We start from the raw sequence: 22788 nt of genomic DNA, 5'->3' as shown, positions 1-22788 counted from the left end.
TACAGGTGTGTGCCACTATGCCTGGCTAATTTTTGGTATTTTTAGTAGAGACGGTGTTTCACCGTGTTGGCCAGGATGGTTTCGATCTCCTGACCTCGTGATCCGCCCACCTCGGCCTCCCAAAGGGCTGGGATTGTAGGTGTGAGCCACCCCACCGCACCCAGCCAAGGTCCCACTCACTCTTTAGCAGGAAAAAAATTAACTAAATGTCCAGTGTCATTTACATTTATAATAATTGAAATAGTGATTAAGTTAACATAATATTAGACTTTCTAGGAATAGCTCAGTTTCTGGAGTGGCCGTTTTGTCTTCTTGCTTCTCTCTTCAAGGTGATGTCCTAGAGCATAAGTGGAGGAATTCATCGTTCACGAGATCACTTACGAGCAAATGATGCAGGGTCTTTTTGCAGAGTGTTTTTCTCATGTTTAGTGTAGTGCTTAGATGTTCTCTAGTCTCAAGATTTGTATGTCTAAGTACTTACTTGACATTTTATGTGGCTATCCAACAGATATCAGAAACTGAAATATTCAAAACAGAACTCAAATTTTATTCCTCGCTTAACCTTCTCCATTCGTATAAATGGTGCCGTGATCACCCAGTTTCTCAAACCAAAACTTTAGGAGTCATTTCCTTTCCCTTACCTTCCCCATCTAATGTTCACTAGAGTCTATCAGTTCTGCTAAAAACATGTTTTGGATCTATCATCTTTTCTGTGTCATCTTTGCCATTATTCTGATTCAAACATTATCTCGGCATTATCTCTTGGCTAGACTCCTGTCGTAACTTTTCGTGTTTTCAACTCAATTCTTCACTTGCCAGTCAGGCTGAACTTAAAAATGTCAATCAAATTCACAATTTCCTTCAAAACTGCCAATGTCTTCCATTGCATGTAGAATGAAATCTTGTCTAATAATATAAAAATTGAGGTTACCTTGCCTTACATCCCATGCAATATCCAGCTCCTGCTGCAGGTCCAATGTCATCATTCCCACTCCCAAACACAATGACTTCTATTCTGTTCCCTGAGCAAGAAAAACTCTTACATGCCTTAGAACCTTTTCAATTCTCTGCTCTATGTGCCTGGAAATGCTCTTCTCCAGGCTTGTAGCAAGCTAAACTGCTACTTCGTCAGAAAGGCTTCTGCCCATATTGTCAAGAGTAGCAGAATTCAGTTCTTCGCTTTCTATCACATCACCTTCTTTCTATCATATCACTTATTGCAATTTGTAATTATTGATTAATTAATATGTTCATTTTTTTACTAGCTTATTTTCTGCCCCCCCCCTTATTATAAGTTCCATGAAGGCAGGAATCATACTTGTCTTGTTACCATGATTTATTTTACCACCATTCACTGAGTGGAATGGATGAATTTATCACTATATGCTGCAGTTAGATATGCATTCGATTATGCTTAAAATGACTTGTCAAACTACTTAATTCTTTCCTTAGTTGTCATAGAGTGGCTTTAGTTATTTAAAACTACTGTTGTTACCACTACAACTACTATTGCCTTTTAAATATTCTGTAATAAAATAACTGACGTTTCCTAACAAGCAATTGGAAACAAGAGCATGGTTCTTCAACTGGGCAGAACTGGTGGAAATTACCAGAGTGTTGGTCATATTTTCTACTATAAGAGTTAGGACTGTGTCAGTAGCATTTTAAGAGCTAGTGATGATGATTGCCTTGAAAGTTCAGTCATTCAGAAAGTTGAGATAACCTACATTCACTTAGGAGAAATATATAGCTTCTATGCATAGATCAGCACCCTCTCTGGGGTGTGTGCTTTGTCTGTAATCATCCAGATCAAAATTTTATACCCAAAGCTCTGATAAAATAGACAATCCAAATATCCTTTGCTTTTTATGGTGCTGGTCCATGAAGCATGACATTGCATGAGACAAGTATCACACAGAATTTTCACTTGTCCTGAGGCCTGGAAAGCCCTAATGAAATTTAATTTGTTTTGCTTGGAGCATTATTGGCTCAAGCATATTGGATTCATCCAGAAACTAATCTCTGAAATCCTAGAAATAACAGCTTTGACATTACGTTTTTCTTCCTGTTTTGTATCATTGTGACTGTTAAAATATATGCAGAAATTACTCAAAACTGAACTGTGGTGGTTAAAATTTTGCATTAGACTTTCAAACGTGAACTTTCCTCAAATTTATGCAATGAAAGAGAATTCAAGGGAGTCTTTCTCCCAGGAAACTTTCTTAGAAAATAATTTTAAGCTAACCAATGGAGTGCTTGTCTTTTCTCTTATTAAAGATTCTTCAGAACTAATTTTCACAGCCACTTTTCACCTTTACACCTTTTGGTGAAACTTTGATAAATGTGTTAAATAGTCAGACTAGCAGATATTAATGTGGAAATTGACACCCATCAGCCCCAGTTCCTACATTTATGTCTGTGTGCCTTTGGCCAAGTTATTTAACTTTTCTGAGCCTCTACTTTTTCCATTGTAAAATAAGAATACTGCACTAAGACTGTCTGCTATGGCATATAATTCTCAAGGATTAATGGAGATAAGTAAAGGCCTTAACCAAGGGGTTGGCATTGCATGTCCAATGAATAACTACTATCACTAGCTATATTGGTGACTAAGTTTTCTTTTAATTAATTCTTTGTGTCTCACAACTTTTGACTGTAAATTATACATTTTTGTAGAAAAAGTTTGTTGTGTTTTTTAATGTTTAGATGTAATAATTACCCTTTTACTAACATTTTTCCTAATATTTGTTTTACTTCTTACTACTTAAGAAGGTAAAATATAGTTATATAGACAATACATTTTAAATGTGTTTGTAACTCTAGTGCTAATTTTCAGGACAACTCTCACCACAACTTCATTGGATATAGTTGTGTAACAGAACTATTTATTCCCTTTTGTTCATACTTTGGTCTTATAAAAATATAAACATATATAAATATAAAATCACTTTCTGCTATAACAAAATTGGATGCTTATACCTTTTTTCACATTCAGGGAAGTACCGAGGAGATTTCTTTCAATCTTATATTCATTCTCTTACTAACTTTTCACCAAAGGAGGGCTAATAATGTAATTGGTGATAACCTGTGGCAGTCCTTTCCAAGGGGGCAGTATTCCTGGGCCTTAATGCAGCCATATGGGAGCGTTTCCTCCTTTCATCTCATTATCTACTGAAAGGATTTATACTATTTTTTGTAACACCATTTTTCTTACATTTTATCCTCCTTATAGAAAGCATGCATGAAAATATTTGCCACAGAGGCAAGGCTGCCCACACAAGTCCTTTTTGTTCTAGTGTCTCTGCCTGTGGTTGGAAATGTAAGGTAACCCTCACTCCATGAAACTGATTAGGTAAGGAGATTTAGAGTCTGTTTGAAAGACCGAGGTGTTCCATAAGCAGAAAGTAGGAAGGAAGAAGCTTCTGCTTCTATCTTACCAGGAAGCCCTGCTTTGGGAGAGTTCTAGCTTACCTAGAATTTAGGAAATGTGCGTGATTATTTTTCTTGTGTATAGCATGCTTTAGAGGATACTCCCTAAAAGAGAAAAGGAGCATGAAAGCTTTAAGTCATCCACAACCCCTAGCATTATGCTCTTTCTTTCAGAGCAATTCCAGTGATGATTTGTTACATTTAACATAGTTATAAGAGAGGATAGTCCACTTGTATTCATAGAAGACTTTCACTGACTATTTTGGGTTTTCACTATACATGATTCCCCTTAAATTCCACCTAGAAAATGTTTTCACAGTATACAATTTTATTTTTTTAAAGACAATACTCCAAACAGTGAAATCAACACTAGTTCTAAATATAGCCTTCATACTCTGCAGAAGGCAGAGGTAATCTCCTCAAGAACCCAGCCATGTAATCCAACCACTATTTAATGTCACAGGGACTTGCAGGATCTATTTATATAAATTGACAGGCACTGATATGGTTTCAAATACATTTCTACAACCCCATGTCATTCTTTCCTTGTGTGTTATAACTTCACAATCTCATGAAGAAAAAGTCAATTTTACTTTTAAGATTAAACTTGAAGAAATCAACAAACAAAATAACAATAACTAAAATATTCGACTTGATGTTCCCAGAGCTATTAGTGACACAGTACAAAAAAAGCTATTTTTCAACACGAAAAATAGCTGGAGAACAAATTACCATTTCAATGAAATCTGATGGTGAAAGGTTTAAGAGCAGAGCCACAGGCTCTGAAGTGAAACAGAACTGGGTTTGAGTCCTTAGCCGGGCGAACTTAGACTGGTTATATAATTGGCCTGAATATCCTTCTGAGTGGAAACGTGGTGAAAACTCCTTCCCCATAGGGTCCAGGTAAGTATCTGTGATAAGTTGTCAAGCTTATAGGACAGTGCCTGACACGCAATAAGGGCTGAAAAATGCCAGTGATCTGTTAGATTAAGTGCTTAGCAAGTCAGCACTAATCTATAAATAACCCACAATAAATTTCAGACAGTACAAGAATATTCCTGTTATTATTTTAACACATTTCATAGCTGACTTCAAGATCTTCAAAAAATATTTTTCTTTTATAAAAGAAGACATTAATAATGCATTCATGTATTTATTTGAAGACATTGTAATAGTAAATGGAATTAACATCTTAATTTGTTTCCCAACTTCAGTGTCTTCTTGCTGTCCGATTCATAGAACTACCCAATCAATCTTCCTAAAGAACAATTACCATCTTGTTATTCTCTTCTCCAAAACTCTTTACAGAGTCCCCATTACCCCATGAATGAAGACCAAACTTACTATCTTGCTTTTTAAGACCCTCCACAAATCTGTCCCTAACCTGTCCTTCAAAAACTATTCCTCACTCTTTTCCTTTATGAGTCTTATGTTATAGCCAAACTGAATTAGATTATAAATTCCTTAGTCAGAGGTCTTCATTTATTTGTCTTTATAACTCTGATATCTATTATACTGCAATGTATATGTATGTCCTTCCCAGTCAATACCAATATTAGTGGTCTCTAGGTTTGTTGATTTTGTTCTTACCCTTTCCAAAATTCACATCACAATTTATCATTGTCATTTTAAATGCTGTTTGGGTGTTCTGAAATGTTAGTGACTGCCAAACAATTCTAGTGCCTGCCATTTCAACTGCATTATGAAATTGTTAACTATAATACTAAGATGATCCCAGGGGAAACATTCTAATATCACCTGCAATATATTGTTGATGCCTTCTTTATTTGCAACCTACCTAATCCAAACTTAACCCAGGCCTTACACATCTGAAGATAGGGCTACCACGTATACTGAATCCTTGCTTAGCCTAGTGTTGCAGAGAGTATATTTTTGTGTGTTACTTGTTTAGTAAAGGAATGAGTTAAAGGCTTTATCAAAGTGCAGGATTTGCGTGATTTTATTTTCCTAACTAGTGGATAGTATGCCACTATTGCAAAGAAAAAAAAGTAGTCAATTTTAATATTATTTTAAAGGACATACTGTTTTCAACTCAATACATTGTGATTATTTATATAATTATACATTAATTATTCACAGACTTGTTATAACTGCTCGTAACATTAGTGCTTTAAAACAGAAAGGAATAAAGGTAACGCTCAAAGTTTTAAAGAAAAAAGAGGATAAATCGTAGGTATTTCATGACTAGTAAGATGCTTTTCCATCTCAGTAATCATCACTGCTCCATTACTCAAGTCAAAAACAGAGAAGTCATCCTTCCCTTCTTCCCTTACCTTCTGCAACCAAATTAATAGAACCAGGTTCTATTAGTTTTTCCAAGAAAATATGTTCTGAGTCTGCTCCCTCATCTCCACTGCAACCATATTAGTGACAGATGCACTTCAAACAGTCATTTTCTTATTGAATTACTACAATAATATCATCCTAATTGGTTGATCACCTACCTGTCTCACCCTTCTATAATTCATTCTAAAGTTAACCATTGATTCTTACTTTCCTCCTTAAAACCTTCTAGTTGTTTTCTATTGGATGTAGAATAGCACCCCAAATCCTTACGATAGCCTGCATAGAAGACCTCCATGAGGTCCTCCCCAGCAGCCTGTCCTACTCCTTCTCCTGCTAGTAATTTCCTTAAATAAATAAATCTCCTTTACAATATAGGGCCTTTGACATGCTTCTACCTCTGCTTGGAAGTGTTTACCTCATGTTTTGCATATTTTTTCAGGCTGCAATGCAAATATCACTTTAACAGAGAATCTTTCCCTGACCTTTGAATCCTAAAGATAATTTTTTAGTCCTTTGCTATCATATCATTTAATTGGCTTCATAATATTTACTACAGCAATGAATTGGTTGTTAATCTTGCTCATATATTTACTGCTTTTTTGTATTTTTCCTCCCTTCCTACTTGTCTAAATTAGAAGATACTTGAGAGCCAGAAAATTGTCCTCTTGTTAACTTATATATACCATGGTCTAGAACAAGAGTTGGCAAACTATGGCTTCTGAACCAACATAGCTTGCTGCCTTTCTTTGTACACAAAGTTTTGTTGGAACGCTACCACAGCCATTTATTTAAATATTGTCCTTGACTGTTTTCTTGCTACAGTGACAGAGTCAAGTAGCTATAACAGAGATCATATAGCCTCAAGCCTAAAGTATTTACCTTCTGACTATTTACAGAAAAAGTTTGCCAAACCTTAAGACTTGAGGGAAGCTAAGGAAGTTGCAAAAAATGATCAGTTACGTAGTCAAGGGCCTAACCTATTTCAGAGCTTGAATTAGGGTATTAGCAGTAGACAGTAAGAGAAGTAGAGACATCCTCCAGAGATAGAATGTACAGCATTTGACAACTGGCTAGGTGTAAGGAATAAAGGAAGAAGGTGAGGTGACTGCAGGGTTTTAAGTCTGGGTTACTTAGAGAATGTTGGTACCATTAACAAAAAACTGGGATGTAAGAAGAAGGATGTGATCTGGGGAAAGGACAATGAATATGATATCGGAAGTATTACACAAAATGTCAGCAGTACACTGTGGCAGAGATGGCAAGCTGACAGCCGTTTAGAGCTCTAGAAAGTGACAGAGACTAAAAAGCTGTATTTTAGATTCACATTTGTTTGAACAAGAACAATTTTTGAAATTTGGGAAGTAAAGACTCAAGGAGATTTTTTTTAAAAAGAATGTATTTAAGAACAGGACTTTCAGAAATTAATATATTTAATAATGAAAAGAGACACGAGAAAAAGAAATAGTCATTTAAGAAGGAAAATTACATTGGTTTCCAGAAGAGATGATTTTTGAGTGTTTACTGCTCCAAAAAGTTAAAAATGCAAAATGGAAGAGAGAAACTGGAGAAAAATTTTACACATTCATAACAAAAATTATTTTTACACCTATTAAATGATATAAACATAACATAATTCTTATCAATTAAAAATAAAAATGCTAGTGCTTATACATGTAAAGATAAAAGTGTGATTGTTGTAACAGTTGCTCAAACAACAATGACTTAAACAATATAGAAATGAATGTCTCTCTCTTGTAGCAGTCTAGCATGAGCATTTAAGGGCTGATATGGCAGCTCCATGGGGTGGTGATGAGCACCAAGCTCCTTCTAGCTTGTGATGCTGTGATTCTTAACATGTATGTTCCTCTTTGTGACTAAACGGCTCCTCCAGTTTCTGCCATCATATTCTTATTCCAGCAAGCAAGAAGAGGAGAAGAAAAGTAGAAGGCACCCCTCCTACTTTCTCTTTATGGGCACAATCCAGGTATTGCACACATTAGTACTGCTCACATCCCATTAGCCAGAAAGTAGTCTCAGAAGCACTCCAGCTGCCAAGAAGGATAGAATATGTCTTTATCCCAATGACCCATAAAATGTGTGAGTTTATTATTAACGAAAGAAAGAAAGCAGATATAGGGGACAGCTGGCAGTCTCTGCCACATACTGCCTCAAAAGAAGAAATGCTACACAGAATAAGAGAAAAAATCACAATACAAATGCCCTAACTATAGTCAAATACATGGAAAGTATAACAAGACAGCAGACAATTCTATCACATTGACAATTATACAATATTCTCAGGTAAACAGGCCTAACCACCCATCCCTTTACCTCCACACAGTCTAGGCTACCTCCCTATCACACCTAGACTATGACAATTGCCCCTAACCCATCTCCCTGCTTCAAGTCTTGTCATTCCCAATTAATCCTCCAAACTGCTTTCAAGTGATCTTCAAGAAAATCCAAATCTTTATAAGCTTACTTTACATAGGAGAAAAATCCAGGATTCTTGACATGGTATTAGACCTTATGGATCTTCACCCTTACCCCATATACGTATATGCTGCCAGCCGTCAAGAAATGCTTACAGCTTCCCTAATGAACCTTAACATTTCACATTTTTGCCGAGACTGCTTGCTCAGCCTGAATGCTTTCCTCTGGTCTCCTGGTAAATGCCTACTCGTCTTTAGATTTGGCTCAAATGTAACTTCTGTAAGTTATTTCTGATCTCTCACTTTACCACAAATAGAATTGATTTCCTCAGCTGTGCCCCTAGTGCACCTTGTGTATACTTTTATTACTTTATCACACATTGTTGTGTTGTTTTAGTTTGGCTTCTGCTTTGCCTACCTCACTCATTAAGAAATTAAACTTTTTGAAACATAGGATGGCATAATCTCTTTCTTATATCTGCCACATAACAGGCCTTCACTAAATGTTATTGGTGAAGTTACTGGGACCAATCTAATAACCCAGTCTCCTTAAATCCTGGATTAGGGCAGAAAGGGTCAGTGTTACCTGAGGGCTCATAGGAAATTTTGCTAGACATAGCTGTCCCTGTGCCTTGACACTTGAACATTGCCCTGGCCTGGGCTTTCTTTTTTTTTTTTTTTTTTTTTTTTTTATTATACTCTAAGTTTTAGGGTACATGTGCACATTGTGCAGGTTAGTTACATATGTATACATGTGCCATGCTGGTGCGCTGCACCCACTAATGTGTCATCTAGCATTAGGTATATCTCCCAATGCTATCCCTCCCCCCTCCCCCGACCCCACCACAGTCCCCAGAGTGTGATATTCCCCTTCCTGTGTCCATGTGATCTCATTGTTCAATTCCCACCTATGAGTGAGAATATGCGGTGTTTGGTTTTTTGTTCTTGCGATAGTTTACTGAGAATGATGGGTTCCAATTTCATCCATGTCCCTACAAAGGATATGAACTCATCATTTTTTATGGCTGCATAATATTCCATGGTGTATATGTGCCACATTTTCTTAATCCAGTCTATCATTGTTGGACATTTGGGTTGGTTCCAAGTCTTTGCTATTGTGAATAGTGCCGCAATAAACATACGTGTGCATGTGTCTTTATAGCAGCATGATTTATAGTCCTTTGGGTATATACCCAGTAATGGGATGGCTGGGTCAAATGGTATTTCTAGTTCTAGATCTCTGAGGAAACGTCACACTGACTTATACAATGGTTGAACTAGTTGACAGTCCCACCAACAGTGTAAAAGCGTTCCTATTTCTCCACATCCTCTCCAGCACCTGTTGTTTCCTGACTTTTTAATGATCGCCATTCTAACTGGTGTGAGATGATATCTCATTGTGGTTTTGATTTGCATTTCTCTGATGGCCAGTGATGATGAGCATTTTTTCATGTGTCTGTTGGCTGCATAAATGAATAGACTAAGATTTCAGTGATTGAGTCTCATGGCATGTGATAAAGAGTTAGTGATAAAGATTTAAATGGCACATAACATCATCCCAATTGAATGCATCGGGGGGTCATGATGCTGTGTGGTTAGTAAGATATACTCAGTGTGCCTATAACCCAGATTGGCTTCTGTGCTGGCCTTGTTGTTTGACATTAACCTCAGTAATGTCCACAGTGCTTCCACCCCTCTCTCATCCTCAAAGATCTTCTCACCACTAATATAGCAGCAAAGAGGGATAGTCTCTGCAACTTCAGGCTTTCTTGCTGTCCCCAAAGACAAACACACAGGACTTTTGATTTTAAGGGGATGGCAAAACCAAAATGCATGGGGAAATTACAAAATTTAAGTAGTTTTATGATGTTGTTATGACTATGTTCCCTGATCTGTGGTAGCTGACTTCTGAGTAGTCATTGAAGGAATCACTTCTGATCTCTAAGATTTAGTCTTGAATATGAGTTTTTCAGCTTTCCTTTGTCTATGCCATCCCTAGCCCCAGTCTCTTGGAGTAATAACAACCCCCATTCAAGAGGAATCCTCCTGCAGGCCTGAGGACCCAATTTGTGAAGACAAAGTGTTTGCTTTTTCTTACAATGAGTGACAATCAATATAGCTCACAAGAATGTTTTCTTTGGATCCTTTCCTTACAAGGATTTCTGCTGCCATTTATCACCAATTGAAAAGGAACATATTAGAATATATGCTATTGCAAGATTTGTTGTTAATTTTAAAACACAAAATGGTGAAAATAATTAGATATAGTTAAGTTTAAATTGTCTACACTGTGCTCCAAACTGCAAATTGAATTAAATTAAATTTTGCTTTAGGGTTTGAAATGGAAATTACAAGCACAATATTACAGAAGTGTGGATTTTAGTTACAATGTCTCTATGAGAAAGTCTAAAAGTTAAACATAAGCAAAACAACAAAAACATCTAAATACCAGGTTAGTTTTCTCTTAATCTCATATTTTTGTTTTAAATGTACACATTTCTGAACTACTTACCAATACTTCTTTTGTCTTTAATTTTTACCTCTTTTAATGTATACCATCAATTTGATTACCATCAATTTGTTTTCATTAGATGATTATCTCATCAAAGTGGGTATGGAAGATGATTGTTTGCGAAAATAGGCTTCTTGAGGGCGGATTTTATGTTTAATGTTTGCTTTTATCCCTAGGAAAAATAAATAAATACCACATGCAGAAAAATCACTTACATGATAATTGTTTATAAAACAATAAAATGCAAATCTAGTGTTTTAAATCCTACCAAGAAGTAGTATGAAATATCAAAATGTTGACTAGAATGTATCCTTTTATAAGAAAGTTCTGCTAGACTTAAATATCTATCCCATACCGGGACTTCATATTTTACAAGTTGAGGTTCTCCCAAAGCTACGCAGCCAACAAGCTTTCATCTTTCATCTTCTATAATGAACACATTATATCCATGGAACCTAGGTCAGAGAAGATTAATGTGTACTGAACAGGGAGGGACAATTCAAGCAGGTACAATTTTTAAGGTGATTATGATCCATGCTATCCTGAGGGCATGGAAGGAAGAGGAGGTTCCAGGGGCACCAAACCAACTCACTGGGCACGTACAACTCCTCAGATGCTTTATGATACCACTGAGTGCATGAGGGCACACACAGAGGAGCATATACAGAGGGTGCAGTGATGTATGTGCAAGAGCTCATTGGCTGTTGCCATAGAGGCAGCCAGTAATGGCATATAGGGAACAAATAGAAGGACATAAAAAGAGATGACTGTGCCACATATACTGAGAAAGAAACCTGCTAAATCCTCTCCTCTCATTGGTCATCGCTATGGAGACAGCCTTTAAAAGCCCATAGGAGATGGAAATTAGATTCTAGTTTAAACACACACACACACAGACACACACACACACACACGACACACACCCCTTCTAGATGTGAGCATCCACATGAACAATATTTAAAGTCAATTTCATTATCTGTTTTCAGGAGTCATTAATAACATACAGCAAGGAGAATCCCCCTAGATACACAGAAAAATATCGGCATTATTTAATAATGTTGAAAAACATCTTTTTTCCTACCCTGGTATTCATTTCAAAAAATTATCCAATTCATCCAATTTTATCTCTAGGTTATATGTCAGATTCCAATACCACTGGATCCCATTAACAGGTCATCCTTTCAAATAATAAATACAACCCCCTGCTGCACAGAAAGTGCTTAAAGACCTTGAAGCCCTGATGTTTGGCAGGTAGACATTTCAAGTTTTGTCGATTGTTTACACCTTGGATAAATGTTTTTCAGTGAGGCATTAATAACAAGGTTCCCCAGTACCCCATTATGTTAAAAAAGATCCGTTGAGCTTTAACCTGCTGCTCACAAGGCATAAAGGAAATGGTCATTTCTTAAATTAGCTTTTTCTGTTTCTTTTAACATAGTAGTTTGTACCAACTCAATTACCAACATAAGGATCATCTCTTGAATTATTTTCAGTTTTTCATTTGTTCTAACATCCTGCAGTAAGTAGTAGCTAAGCAATCTAAAACTTCGATTTATCCTGGTTTTAAAATAATACATGGCAATATACAACTTGGTCTAAGGAAAATGTATATTGTAGGAAAAACATATTAAAATGATGCCTCTGAGAATATGGAAAGTAGTCCCCACTTTTTATTTACTAGGAAAAGACCCAGCAAATAGAAGAGTCGAATAACTTATGTTTATGTGTTATAAAGAATTTTTTTCTTCCTTGTGTGATACGAATTTGTTAGGTAGTAAACTAGGAAAGAGTATATGTTTGAACTTTCTTGATACTACAGATTGAGGTGGAATTTCACTGTGGCTAGATTCTTTAGGAGATATGAAACAGACATGATAAAGTATACATTTGAAGTGACCTAGAGGTGGGAAGCATAGGTAATTATTACTCTTTGCAAGGACCATTCTAGCTATGAAAAGGAACTGGAGAGAGGGAAGAGAGAGTCACAGGTAGTTCCTGGATTTATTCCTGGAAATTTACTTTTAAAGAACAAATAAGAAATTGTACAACCAAGGAAGGCACATGCTTTTGTTGCAAAAGTCTAACTATCAATAGGGGCCACTAATTGCTATGGAATGTTCTGGGCCACTTTTCTAGCTGAGGGGAAGGATTATGTCTTCTGCTTGAAAAATAGAGAGCTAGAGACAGAAAGGTCAAAATAAAGATAGACTGTCCACCAACCCAATGCAACCAAATATTTAACATAAACCCTTCTGCCCTCCAAAGGTCAGAGCCAAACAAGCTACACTCTTTGGGAACTTAACTGAGTTTTCATTATGTCAGTATGTCCTAGAATCATAGATTTTCTTGGCTGGAGATCAGCCCATATTTGGAAACGATAAAGCTCTATCTATGCACTTGATGTCAGAAGCAATCCTGAACCCAATGTACCTTAACATTTATGGAATACATCTGCCACAAGCTGTCTACACAACAGCGTGACAGATTAAAAAGAAACACCAGAACTATGCAGAGGAGGGACTGGATCTTATCAGTGAGACAGAAAGATATGCTTACGTGGACTCTAAAACGCTCCGCGGTATCTAACTTTATTTCTTTGACACCTAAAACGGGATGCAACCTTCAAGCATGACCGATCTGTTATTTTTAAACAGAGGGGAAAATCTGGCAATGTAAATAGAAAGTATCTGTTTACATAGGTTTTTTAGAATTTGATCTGAAATTTTAGCAAGTTGCAGAATGGGTTGTGAAGCACAACATTTCATCTTTTTGATTCTAGACACTATCCTCAGAAATTAGATTTGAAAAATGAGCTTCATTTTCGAAGAACATATTGTAAGTAATAATAATAATAGAATTGACTTATTTAAATCGGTCATAATGATATAAGAAATCTTAGAAACTTGTTTAATTTTCCTGGGAATCTAATATTCTTATTTTAGGTTATTACACACAGAGATTATTAATATAGTTTTAAGTTAATTGACTTTTCATGCTGTAACTTTAGTTGCCACTATACAGATTTTCAATTGCAAAGAAAGCTCTCTAGGGGTTATTTTCCCTTAATTTCTTTGTATTATTTAATATGTATTTTAACTCCTTTTACTATCATTCCTAATCCTCTTAATTATAAACCTGAAATTTCTGTAATTGCCAGCCAATGAATGGGAGTGCTTGGACTGTGACCTGCACATCCAAGCAGTCTGACTTTCCATGGGCACAGTTACTATGTGATGAAACTATAGCATTTACTTATGCTCAAATATATAAATATATATCATATATAATATATGATATACATGTATATCATATATAATATATGATATACATGTATATCATATATAATATATGTATATCATATATACATGTATATCATATATACATGTATATCATATATAATACATGTATATCATATATAAATAAATATAACATTTATTTATACTCAATTATGTTATTTTCTTTATTATACTTTAAGTTCTGGGTTATGTGTGCAGAGTGTGCAGTTTTGGTACACAGGTATACACGTGCCTTGGTGGTTTGCTGCACCCATCAACCTATCACCTACATTAGGTATTTCTCCTAATGTTATCCCTCCCCTAGCCCCCAACCCCCTGACAGGTCCCAGTGTGTGATATTCCCCTCCCTGGGTCCATGTGTTCTCATCATTCAACTCCCACTTATGAGTGAGAACATGCGGTGTTTCATTTTCTCATCTCGTGATAGTTTGCTGAAAATGATGGTTTCCAGCTTCATCCATGTCCCTGCAAAAGACATGAACTCATTGTTTTTTATGGCTGCATAGTATTCCATGGTGCCACATTTTCTAAATCCAGTCTATCGTTGATGGACATTTGGGTTGGTTCCAAGTCTTTGCTACTGTGAATAGTGCCACAATAAATATATGTGTGCAGGTGTCTTTATAGTATAATGATTTATAATCCTTTGGGTATGTGCCCAGTAATGGGATTGCTGGGTCAAATGGTATTTCTGGTTCTAGATCCTTGAGGAATCACCACACCGTCTTCTAAAACATGTATTCATATTAGGATATTTCAGCAGGAATAATAACAAAGTTTCCCCATTCCTACTAATCTGTTTATCAAATCAGTAAAAACAAAACAAAACAAAACAAAAAGACATAAAAACCACAATAGACAGTTGAGAAATAACTTGAATGAATCAACAGGTCACAAAAAAGCTGATTGAAAAAATATGCAACCTCGCCAGAATTCAACTATACAAAATAAAATTTAAAAATATTTTAGAATGTTATAAACTGTCCTAAATAAATAATCATGTACTTTTATATTATAAAATTTGTAGCAAATGATAATATGAAAATGATATATTTTAAAGATTAGGTAACTTTGAGCAAAGTTTAAAAGACCACAAATATTTGGGTAAAATAAGAGAGCATCTTCATTAACCTGTAACAATTATGAATCTTAATTCTTCTGTTCCTTACAGATTTAAACAGAGGGTTTTTTCTCTCAAGTTTTTTTCAGAGTTCCTCAACTGTTGGAGTTAAAAATGTTACTGTACCCTTTCTCATTTTAATACTTATCTATGATCTCAGCTTACCTTTAACTTAGCTAGTAAAGTAATTTCCCAGAGGGTTAACTCATTTCTTCAGAGTTCTAACTTTTCCTTTCTTATGGAATTTGACAGAAAGAGACCATCGTTGTATAGGTCCTGCTTTTTTCATAGAAAAAAGCAAAAGCAAATCCCACGATATCTTTCTTCTTCAAAAAAAAAAAAAATGTTTAAGAGACCACTATTACAGTATCTTTCAGTCTGCTTCCAAGTTTTAGCCCTTCTTATGCTGCAGCAGCACACTGGAAAGATGAACTCAGAGTGGTTCTGGTGTTTATAGTCCAGGAATCTTTTTGTCTCCTTTGATACACAAAATAGGATATGGATAGACTCCTCCTTGATCCCAGCTATAAACATCAATTAACAGAGAAATGTACACTAATTATTTTTATTACTTCTCTTGATATGTAGGCTCTTTGTGGAAGGGAACATGAGAAAATTAAATTTGACTAAGTAAAAATAGTTCCAAGTCTCAGGAGATGTTTTTTAATGGTGACAAAATGAAAACTAGAAGGAGTCATTAGGCAATTACCTGACCAGTTCTATTTCTGCCCTGAGTACATTATGCCAGGGGCTTAGTACAGAATCTGGAATGAGAAAATTCAGAATCCCTCAGAATTTTTCTGCCACTCAGAGTTCTCTCTGATTTTATTTCTGTATTAAGTCTCCTTGTGATTCATATTAAGACTTTATATTTTTGGGCCTCTAGAACCTCATAACCTGTTAATGCTTCTCAATAAAATTACAATGTTTAATGAATTTGTGTGGCAAGAAAGGGAAAAGGGGCAGTTTTTCCAACTTCAAGGGAATTCAATTAGAGGAATTCTTTTATATTTTATTATTATCTCTTTATTAATCTATTCTATTTTTAAAAGAAAAATACGTTGTTCCTTCGTGAAGTAATTAGCTTTTTTTTTTTTTTTTTTTTTTTTTTTGCTGAGGCAGGAGAATGGTGTGAATGGTGTGAACCTGGGAGGCGGAGCTTTTTTTTTAATTAAACTTTAAGTTCTAGGGTACATGTGCACAATGTGCAGGTTTGTTACATATGTATACATGTGCCATGTTAGTGTGCTGCACCCATTAACTCATCATTTACATTAGGTATATCTCCTAATGCTATCCCTCCCCCCCGCCCCCCACCCCACAACAGGCCCCATTGTGTGATGTTCCCCTTCCTGTGTCCAAGTGTTCTCATTGTTCAGTTCCCACCTATGAGTGAGAACATGCGGTGTTTGTGTTTTTGTCCTTGGCAATAGTTTGCTGAGAATGATGGTTTCTTTAAGAAAAGTGTCTCTTTCTGTATATTTTGAAATCAATGATTTTCTTTAGGGTGACTTGTATCACACAGGATTTTAAACTAACAAAGATCATGCCTCAGAATAGAAGCATGATCTGAACATTTATTTTTGTATTTGTCAATATTTGCTCTGGACTAAGGCTGCTTTAGTCAGAGATCATCACTGTTCTTTTGCGGTTTATTTTTCTTTTTCCTTTGAATAGTTCCCAACTGGAGTTGGGAGAGAAGCTTCTTTCTTCTATGGCTGTGAAGCTACTTAAGATAAGTTTGGAGGTCTTGGAGGACAAGTCTATGGAGTACACCAGTTTAAAACTGAAAACAAAAGAGGATGAGAACACAAGTTCTGAAATATGAAAACCTCTGCCTCAAGTTATTCCCCAGGGCGATTTCATTGTTGCCCTCTTTATAATTGTATCATGTCAACCAACATTTCCCCTTTTCTCCTGAATCTACTTTGAGTTTGGTTTATATTCTTTGCAATTGAGAAAGTCCTGACTAAAAAGTGCTCTTCAGTCTTTGACTATAATAAAAACTTAAATTTTGGTTTTCCTCTCTGAATATACAAATACAAAAGCCTTAATTCTGAAACAAAGAATACCTTGACATGGTGAATTCACAGTATTGTAACCCCCACTGTATCCTGCTGATGAAAATGATTATGGATAAACTAAAACATGGGGGAAAATGAATGACTATCTCACAGAATCTTAAAAGCTTTTGAAAATATTAACATTTCCCACTTCCTTGTTTTAAATGTAAACGATACAAAATGTCTAACTCCTGCTATTCCGCTCTCTTGGGAGAGCTGGCAGTACTGCCACAGCTGTGTATGCAGAGCTCTGAGGAGGACATTGACACCTTTGCCTAATTAATGCGCAGCTTTGCTGAACTTCTGTCCAATCTCTGACAATGCCAGCAGTGATAAGGGACCATTATGGTCTAATGAGCATGGAAAAATTGGAAATCCAAGCCTCCTATGGAAATGTTAAAGCCCATCTACTAATGTGGGGGAGAAAAGGTCTTAAGCCATTCATTCTATTCATTATACATGTATTTTTGAATTAGTAAAAAAAATCTTATAATTTGATAGCTCTATTATGTAAGTGTATTTTTTAGTTTTTAAACTGCAAGCTGTGTTGACTAGTCACAGCAGGGAGGAACAAATAAATTAATCTTTCTTTTCATCAAGAAGCAAAACTGAGTAGGTCTAAATCAAGCTTTTTCTCTTTGGCTTTAATGAGGTATAATTGGCAAATAAAAATTGTATACATAAGGTACACAATGTGATGTTTTGATACATGTATACATTCTGAAATGATTAGCACCATCAAGCTAATTAACATATCAATCACTTCACATAGTTACCTTTTTTTATGGTGGGAATACTTAAGATGTATTCTCTTAGCAAATTTCAAATATACATTATTATTAATGATTGATAGGCATCATGCTGTCACCAGAACTTTTTCATCTTATAATTGAAAGTTTGTACCCTTTGACCAACATCTCCCCATTTCCCCCAACCTGCCCCTCTGCCCCCCTGCCCCACAACCACTATTCTATTCTGTCTCTTTGTATTTGATTTTTGTCTTTTATAGTTTCCACACATAAGCAAGATCATGAACCATCTTTCTATGTCTGGATTATTTCATTTAACATAATGTCCTCCAGGTTAATTTACGTTGTTTAAAGTGACAGGCTTTCCTTCGTTTTAAAGGCTGGCTGATAATTCATTGTGTATATATATCATAATTTCTTTATTCATCCATCGACAGACACTTAGGTTGATTCTATATCTTGGTTATTGTGAAAAATGTAGATACGTCTTTGAGACAGTAATTTCATTTTCTTTGAATATATACACAAAACTCAAAATAAATTAAAGATTTAAACATAAGAACTAAAACTATAAAACTCCTAGAATGAAACAGGGGAAAAACTGTATAACATTATATATGACACCAAAAGTTCAAGCAATACAAGCAAAAATAAGAAAGTGGAACTACATAAAACTAGAAAGTTTCTGTACAATAGAGAAAACAATCAACAATAAAAAGGCAACCCACAGAATGGGAGAAAATATTTGCAAACCATATATCTGATAAGAGGCTAAGATCCAATATATATAAGAAACTCATACAAATGAATAGCAAAAAAACCCAAAAAATTCCTGAATAACTTGATTTACACATGAGCAAAGGTCCTGAATAGATATTTTTCCAAATAAAATACAAAAATGGCCAACATGTGTAAAAAAAGTACTCGACATTACCGATCATCAGAGAAATGCAAATCAAAACCACAGCAAAATATCATCTCGCACTTATTAAGATGGCTATTATCAAAAGACAAGTGGTAACAAGTGTTTTTGAGGTAAAAATGTGAAGAAAAGGGAACCCATATACATTGTTGGTGGAAATGTAAATTGTTACAGTCATTATGTGAAAACGTATGGAAGTTTCTCAAAAAATTAAAAATGGAATTACCATATAATCTAGCACTTCTAGGTAGAAAGCCAAAGAAAATAAAATTACTAATCAAGTGTTTTGTCTTAATAAGAGGTAGATGAAGGAAAGGTTGTTTAATCTTACTAATTGATATAAAACTGAAAAGTACATATGGTGCAATGTAAATGTTCATCATTAATGTTCACTCCCAGTCCATTATTAATTCATGGTATGTTACATTGATATTTAAGCTATTAAATTTACTTGGAAAATTATACAGAGGATACCTAACAAATGTCCTAATTGTTCTTTATCCATACCATTAAGTATCATAACTTGAACTTTCCAAACAAAGTGTTTGTGTATGGATATAATACTTAGTACTGTTGTGTTATTAGTATGCAAGTAAACAAGACAGATGATATCACTGCTCTCATAGGAAACATTCTGTTGAAGGAAAGCCTAATAAAAAACTTATCTATAGAATGGATTCAAGCAACAGTAGTGAGAGGTGACAGCATGCTGGCAGCCCTCTCTCACTCTCTGCACCTCCTCGGCCTCAGCGCCCACTCTGGCCTCACTTGAGGAGCCCCTCAGCCTGCCGCTGCACTGTGGGAGACTCTCTCTGGGCTGGCTGAAGCCGAAGCCAGCTCCCTCTGCTTGCAGGGAGGTGTGGAGGGAGAGGCGCAGGCAGGAACCAGGGCTGTGCCTGAGTTCCGTGTGGGTGTGGGCTTTGCAGACCCCACACTCGGAGCAGCTGGCCGGTGCCTCTGGCCCCAGGCAGTGAGGGGCTTAGCACCCATGCCAGCAGCTCCAGAGGGTGTGCTGGGTCCCCCAGTACTGCTGGCCAGACTGCGCTGCACTTGAATTCTCACAGGGCCTCAGCCATCTCCCCGTGGGGTAGGGCTCAGGACCTGCAGCCTGCCATGCCAGAGCCACCCCCCTCTTTCCCCCCGCCCCGTGGGCTCCCACACAGCCTGAGCCTCCCCGACGGGTGCCACCCCCTGCTCCAAGGTGCCCAGTCCCATCAACCGCCCAAGGGCTAAGGTGTGCAGGCATGTGGTGCTGGACTGGTGGACAGCTCCACCCGCAGCCCCAGCAGGGTATCCACTAGGGGAAGCCAGCTGGGCTCCTGAGTCAGATGGGGACTTGGAGAACTTTTATGTCTAGCTAAAGGATTGTAAATACACCAATCAGCACTTTGTGTCTAGCTCAAGGTTTGTAAATGCACCAATCAGCACCCTGTGTCTAGCTCAAGGTTTGTGAATGCACCAATCAGTGCTCTGTGTCGAGCTAATCTCGTGGGGACTTGGAGAACTTTTGTGTCTAGCTCAGGGATTATAAACGTACCAATCAGCACTCTGCCAAAACGGACCAATCAGTTCTCTGTAAAAGTGACCAATCAGCTCTCTGTAAAATGGACCAATCAGCAGGATGTGGGTGGGGCCAGATAAGGGAATAAAAGCTGACTGCCGGAGCCAGCAGTGGCAACCCACTTGGGTCTCTTTCCACCGTGTGTCAGCTTTGGTCTTTTGTTCTTTGCAACAGGTCTTGCTGCTGCTCCCTCTTTGGGTCCGCACTGCCTTTATGAGCTGTAACAGTCACCGCGAAGGTCTGCAGCTTCAATCCTGAGGCCAGCGAGACCACGAACCCACCAGGAGGAATGAACAACTCCGGATGGGAGGAACGAACAACTCCGGATGGGAGGAACGAACAACTCCAGACGCGCGCCGCTTTAAGAGCTGTAACATTCACTGCGAAGGTCTGCAGCTTCACTCCTGAAGCCAGCGAGACCATGAACCCACCAGAAGGAAGAAACTCCGAACACGTCCGAACATCAGAAGGAACAAACTCCAGACACACCATCTTTAAGAACTGTAATACTCACCGCGAGGTTCGGCAGCTTCAGTCTTGAAGTCAATGAGTCCAAGAACCCACCAATTCTGGACACAGTAGGATAGTGTGTTATGAAGATGTATTTATTAGGAGGTAAGCCTCCTCGAAAAAATCAAAAGACCTTTGTTGCACCAAATTCCTTGCTATAATGATTCCTGTTAGAGTGAAACGCCTATTTGCTTCCAGAGTATAAATTTCATTCCAATTGGAGGAAAAGGCTTAAATGACTTCAAGAAACACATTGTAAATTTGCCACCTCTTTTGCATTTTCCTGAGATATTTTCCTCAAGGAATTGACGTGCAAATCACCAAGGTCTACATATTTTTCCCATTACCTACAAAAGTAGTGACTATACCAATTAGAAATTTTGTTCACTAGTAAAAAATCAATAAGAGTACACTGCTTGGACACTTACATAAGAAGTTATAATTTTTTTTTCTTTCTGAATCATTTCTCCTAAGCCGTTTTCTACTGACAGGAGTCTGTCTCTTCACATTAGTGACAGGAAGAAATAATTAAGTGTAAGTTGTCACTTGTGATCGGAAGATCCATGAAGTAAAAGTGAACTAAGTGGGGCAGATGAAATCCTGGCTGTCCTCTCTACATCTGCTGAAATAGACTTAGGAATCATCTCTGAAACATTCCCACTTCTAATTTCCAGAATTTATGTGGATTACAAATGAGAATAATCTAGATTTTTCTTGTAGAATCTTGAAGAGGCATTCTTTATTTTTAATCACTTACCCTTAGGAATATCCTCAGAATGTGCCTGAAATTAGGACAAATCTATGTATTATAGTTAGAGTGAAATATTAGTAATTGTTTAATGTCACTACGCCTAACTTAACTGTTAGTGTGAATTTTGAGTGGATAAATAAGGAATATTTATTGCTCTCATTGTTCATTCATTCAACAAGCATTTAGTGAATACCTTCCATATACCAGAGATTTTTCAAGTAATTGAGAAAATAAAGATAATTAAGATAGTTCACCTCAAGTTTCTCCCAGTTTAGAAGAAGATAAATTAGAAAATTGATGGTTAGAATATAGCATGGTCAGAGCTATGGGAAAAGAGAATATCATATGAGACTGGTGAACAGACATGAGGATGCAATGCTTGTTCTTGGTCTGGAAGGATACTTTGGAGCTATTTAGGAGACTAATGATGGAAGACTTTGCTGGGTTGGGTAAAATGTAGCAACTGCAATAATAGAGAAAATTGCAGAAAAAAGGCCAGTGTCTGTCTATTCTGGCTGCTGTAACAAAAATACCCTAGACTGGATGGCTTATAAACAACAGAAATTTATTTCTCATATCTCTAGATCCTGGAATGTTCAAGATTAAGGTGCTGGCTGATTTAGTGTCTTTTGAGGGCCTGTTTCTTGTTGCTTCGTGGGATGGTGTAAGGAACAAAGCAACTTTCTGGGCCATCTTTTATAAAGGCACTAATACCATGCACAAGGGCTCTGCACTTACGATCTAATCACCTACCAGAGGCCCCACCTCCTGATATCATCACCTTGAGAGCGAGGATCTCAACATATAAATTTTAGGAGAACACAAATAGACCATAGTCACCAACAACTGCAAAGTCAAGTAGATATGAGGCTGCACCTCTGGGGAGCAGCAAGTAATGTGGTCTAGCTGGGGAGAAGGGTAAGGAAGGAATAATGTAGGAGGTGAGCCTGAAGAAAGAGAGGCAATGGTCAGATCATAAAGCCTCAAATGCTTCCCTGAGAAGTTTGCATTTTATTCTGAAGATTATAGGAGGGCACTGTAGATTTCCAAACATGGCTAGTTTTGTATTTTACAAGGATTACTCTGGTATTAAGATATTAGCAAGACTGGGGATAAGGGACCAGTTAAGAAGAGAA

General features: G+C 36.9%; 1 long non-coding RNA gene across 1 annotated transcript; it reads left to right on the top strand.

The window, feature by feature from the left end:
- The first annotated feature begins 13177 nt into the window (after nucleotides 1-13177).
- On the top strand, nucleotides 13178-21905 carry LOC124901813 (uncharacterized). Its single transcript, XR_007060643.1, has 2 exons — nucleotides 13178-13515; nucleotides 20566-21905. It is a non-coding gene; the product is annotated as an uncharacterized LOC124901813 (long non-coding RNA).
- The last annotated feature ends 883 nt before the right edge of the window (nucleotides 21906-22788 follow it).

This window comes from Homo sapiens, chromosome 7 (genome assembly GCF_000001405.40).
Source record: "Homo sapiens chromosome 7, GRCh38.p14 Primary Assembly".
In the NCBI taxonomy this organism is placed as follows: domain Eukaryota; kingdom Metazoa; phylum Chordata; class Mammalia; order Primates; family Hominidae; genus Homo; species Homo sapiens.
Note: the sequence above shows the minus strand (reverse complement) of the source record. Positions and strands in the feature narration are given on the sequence as shown.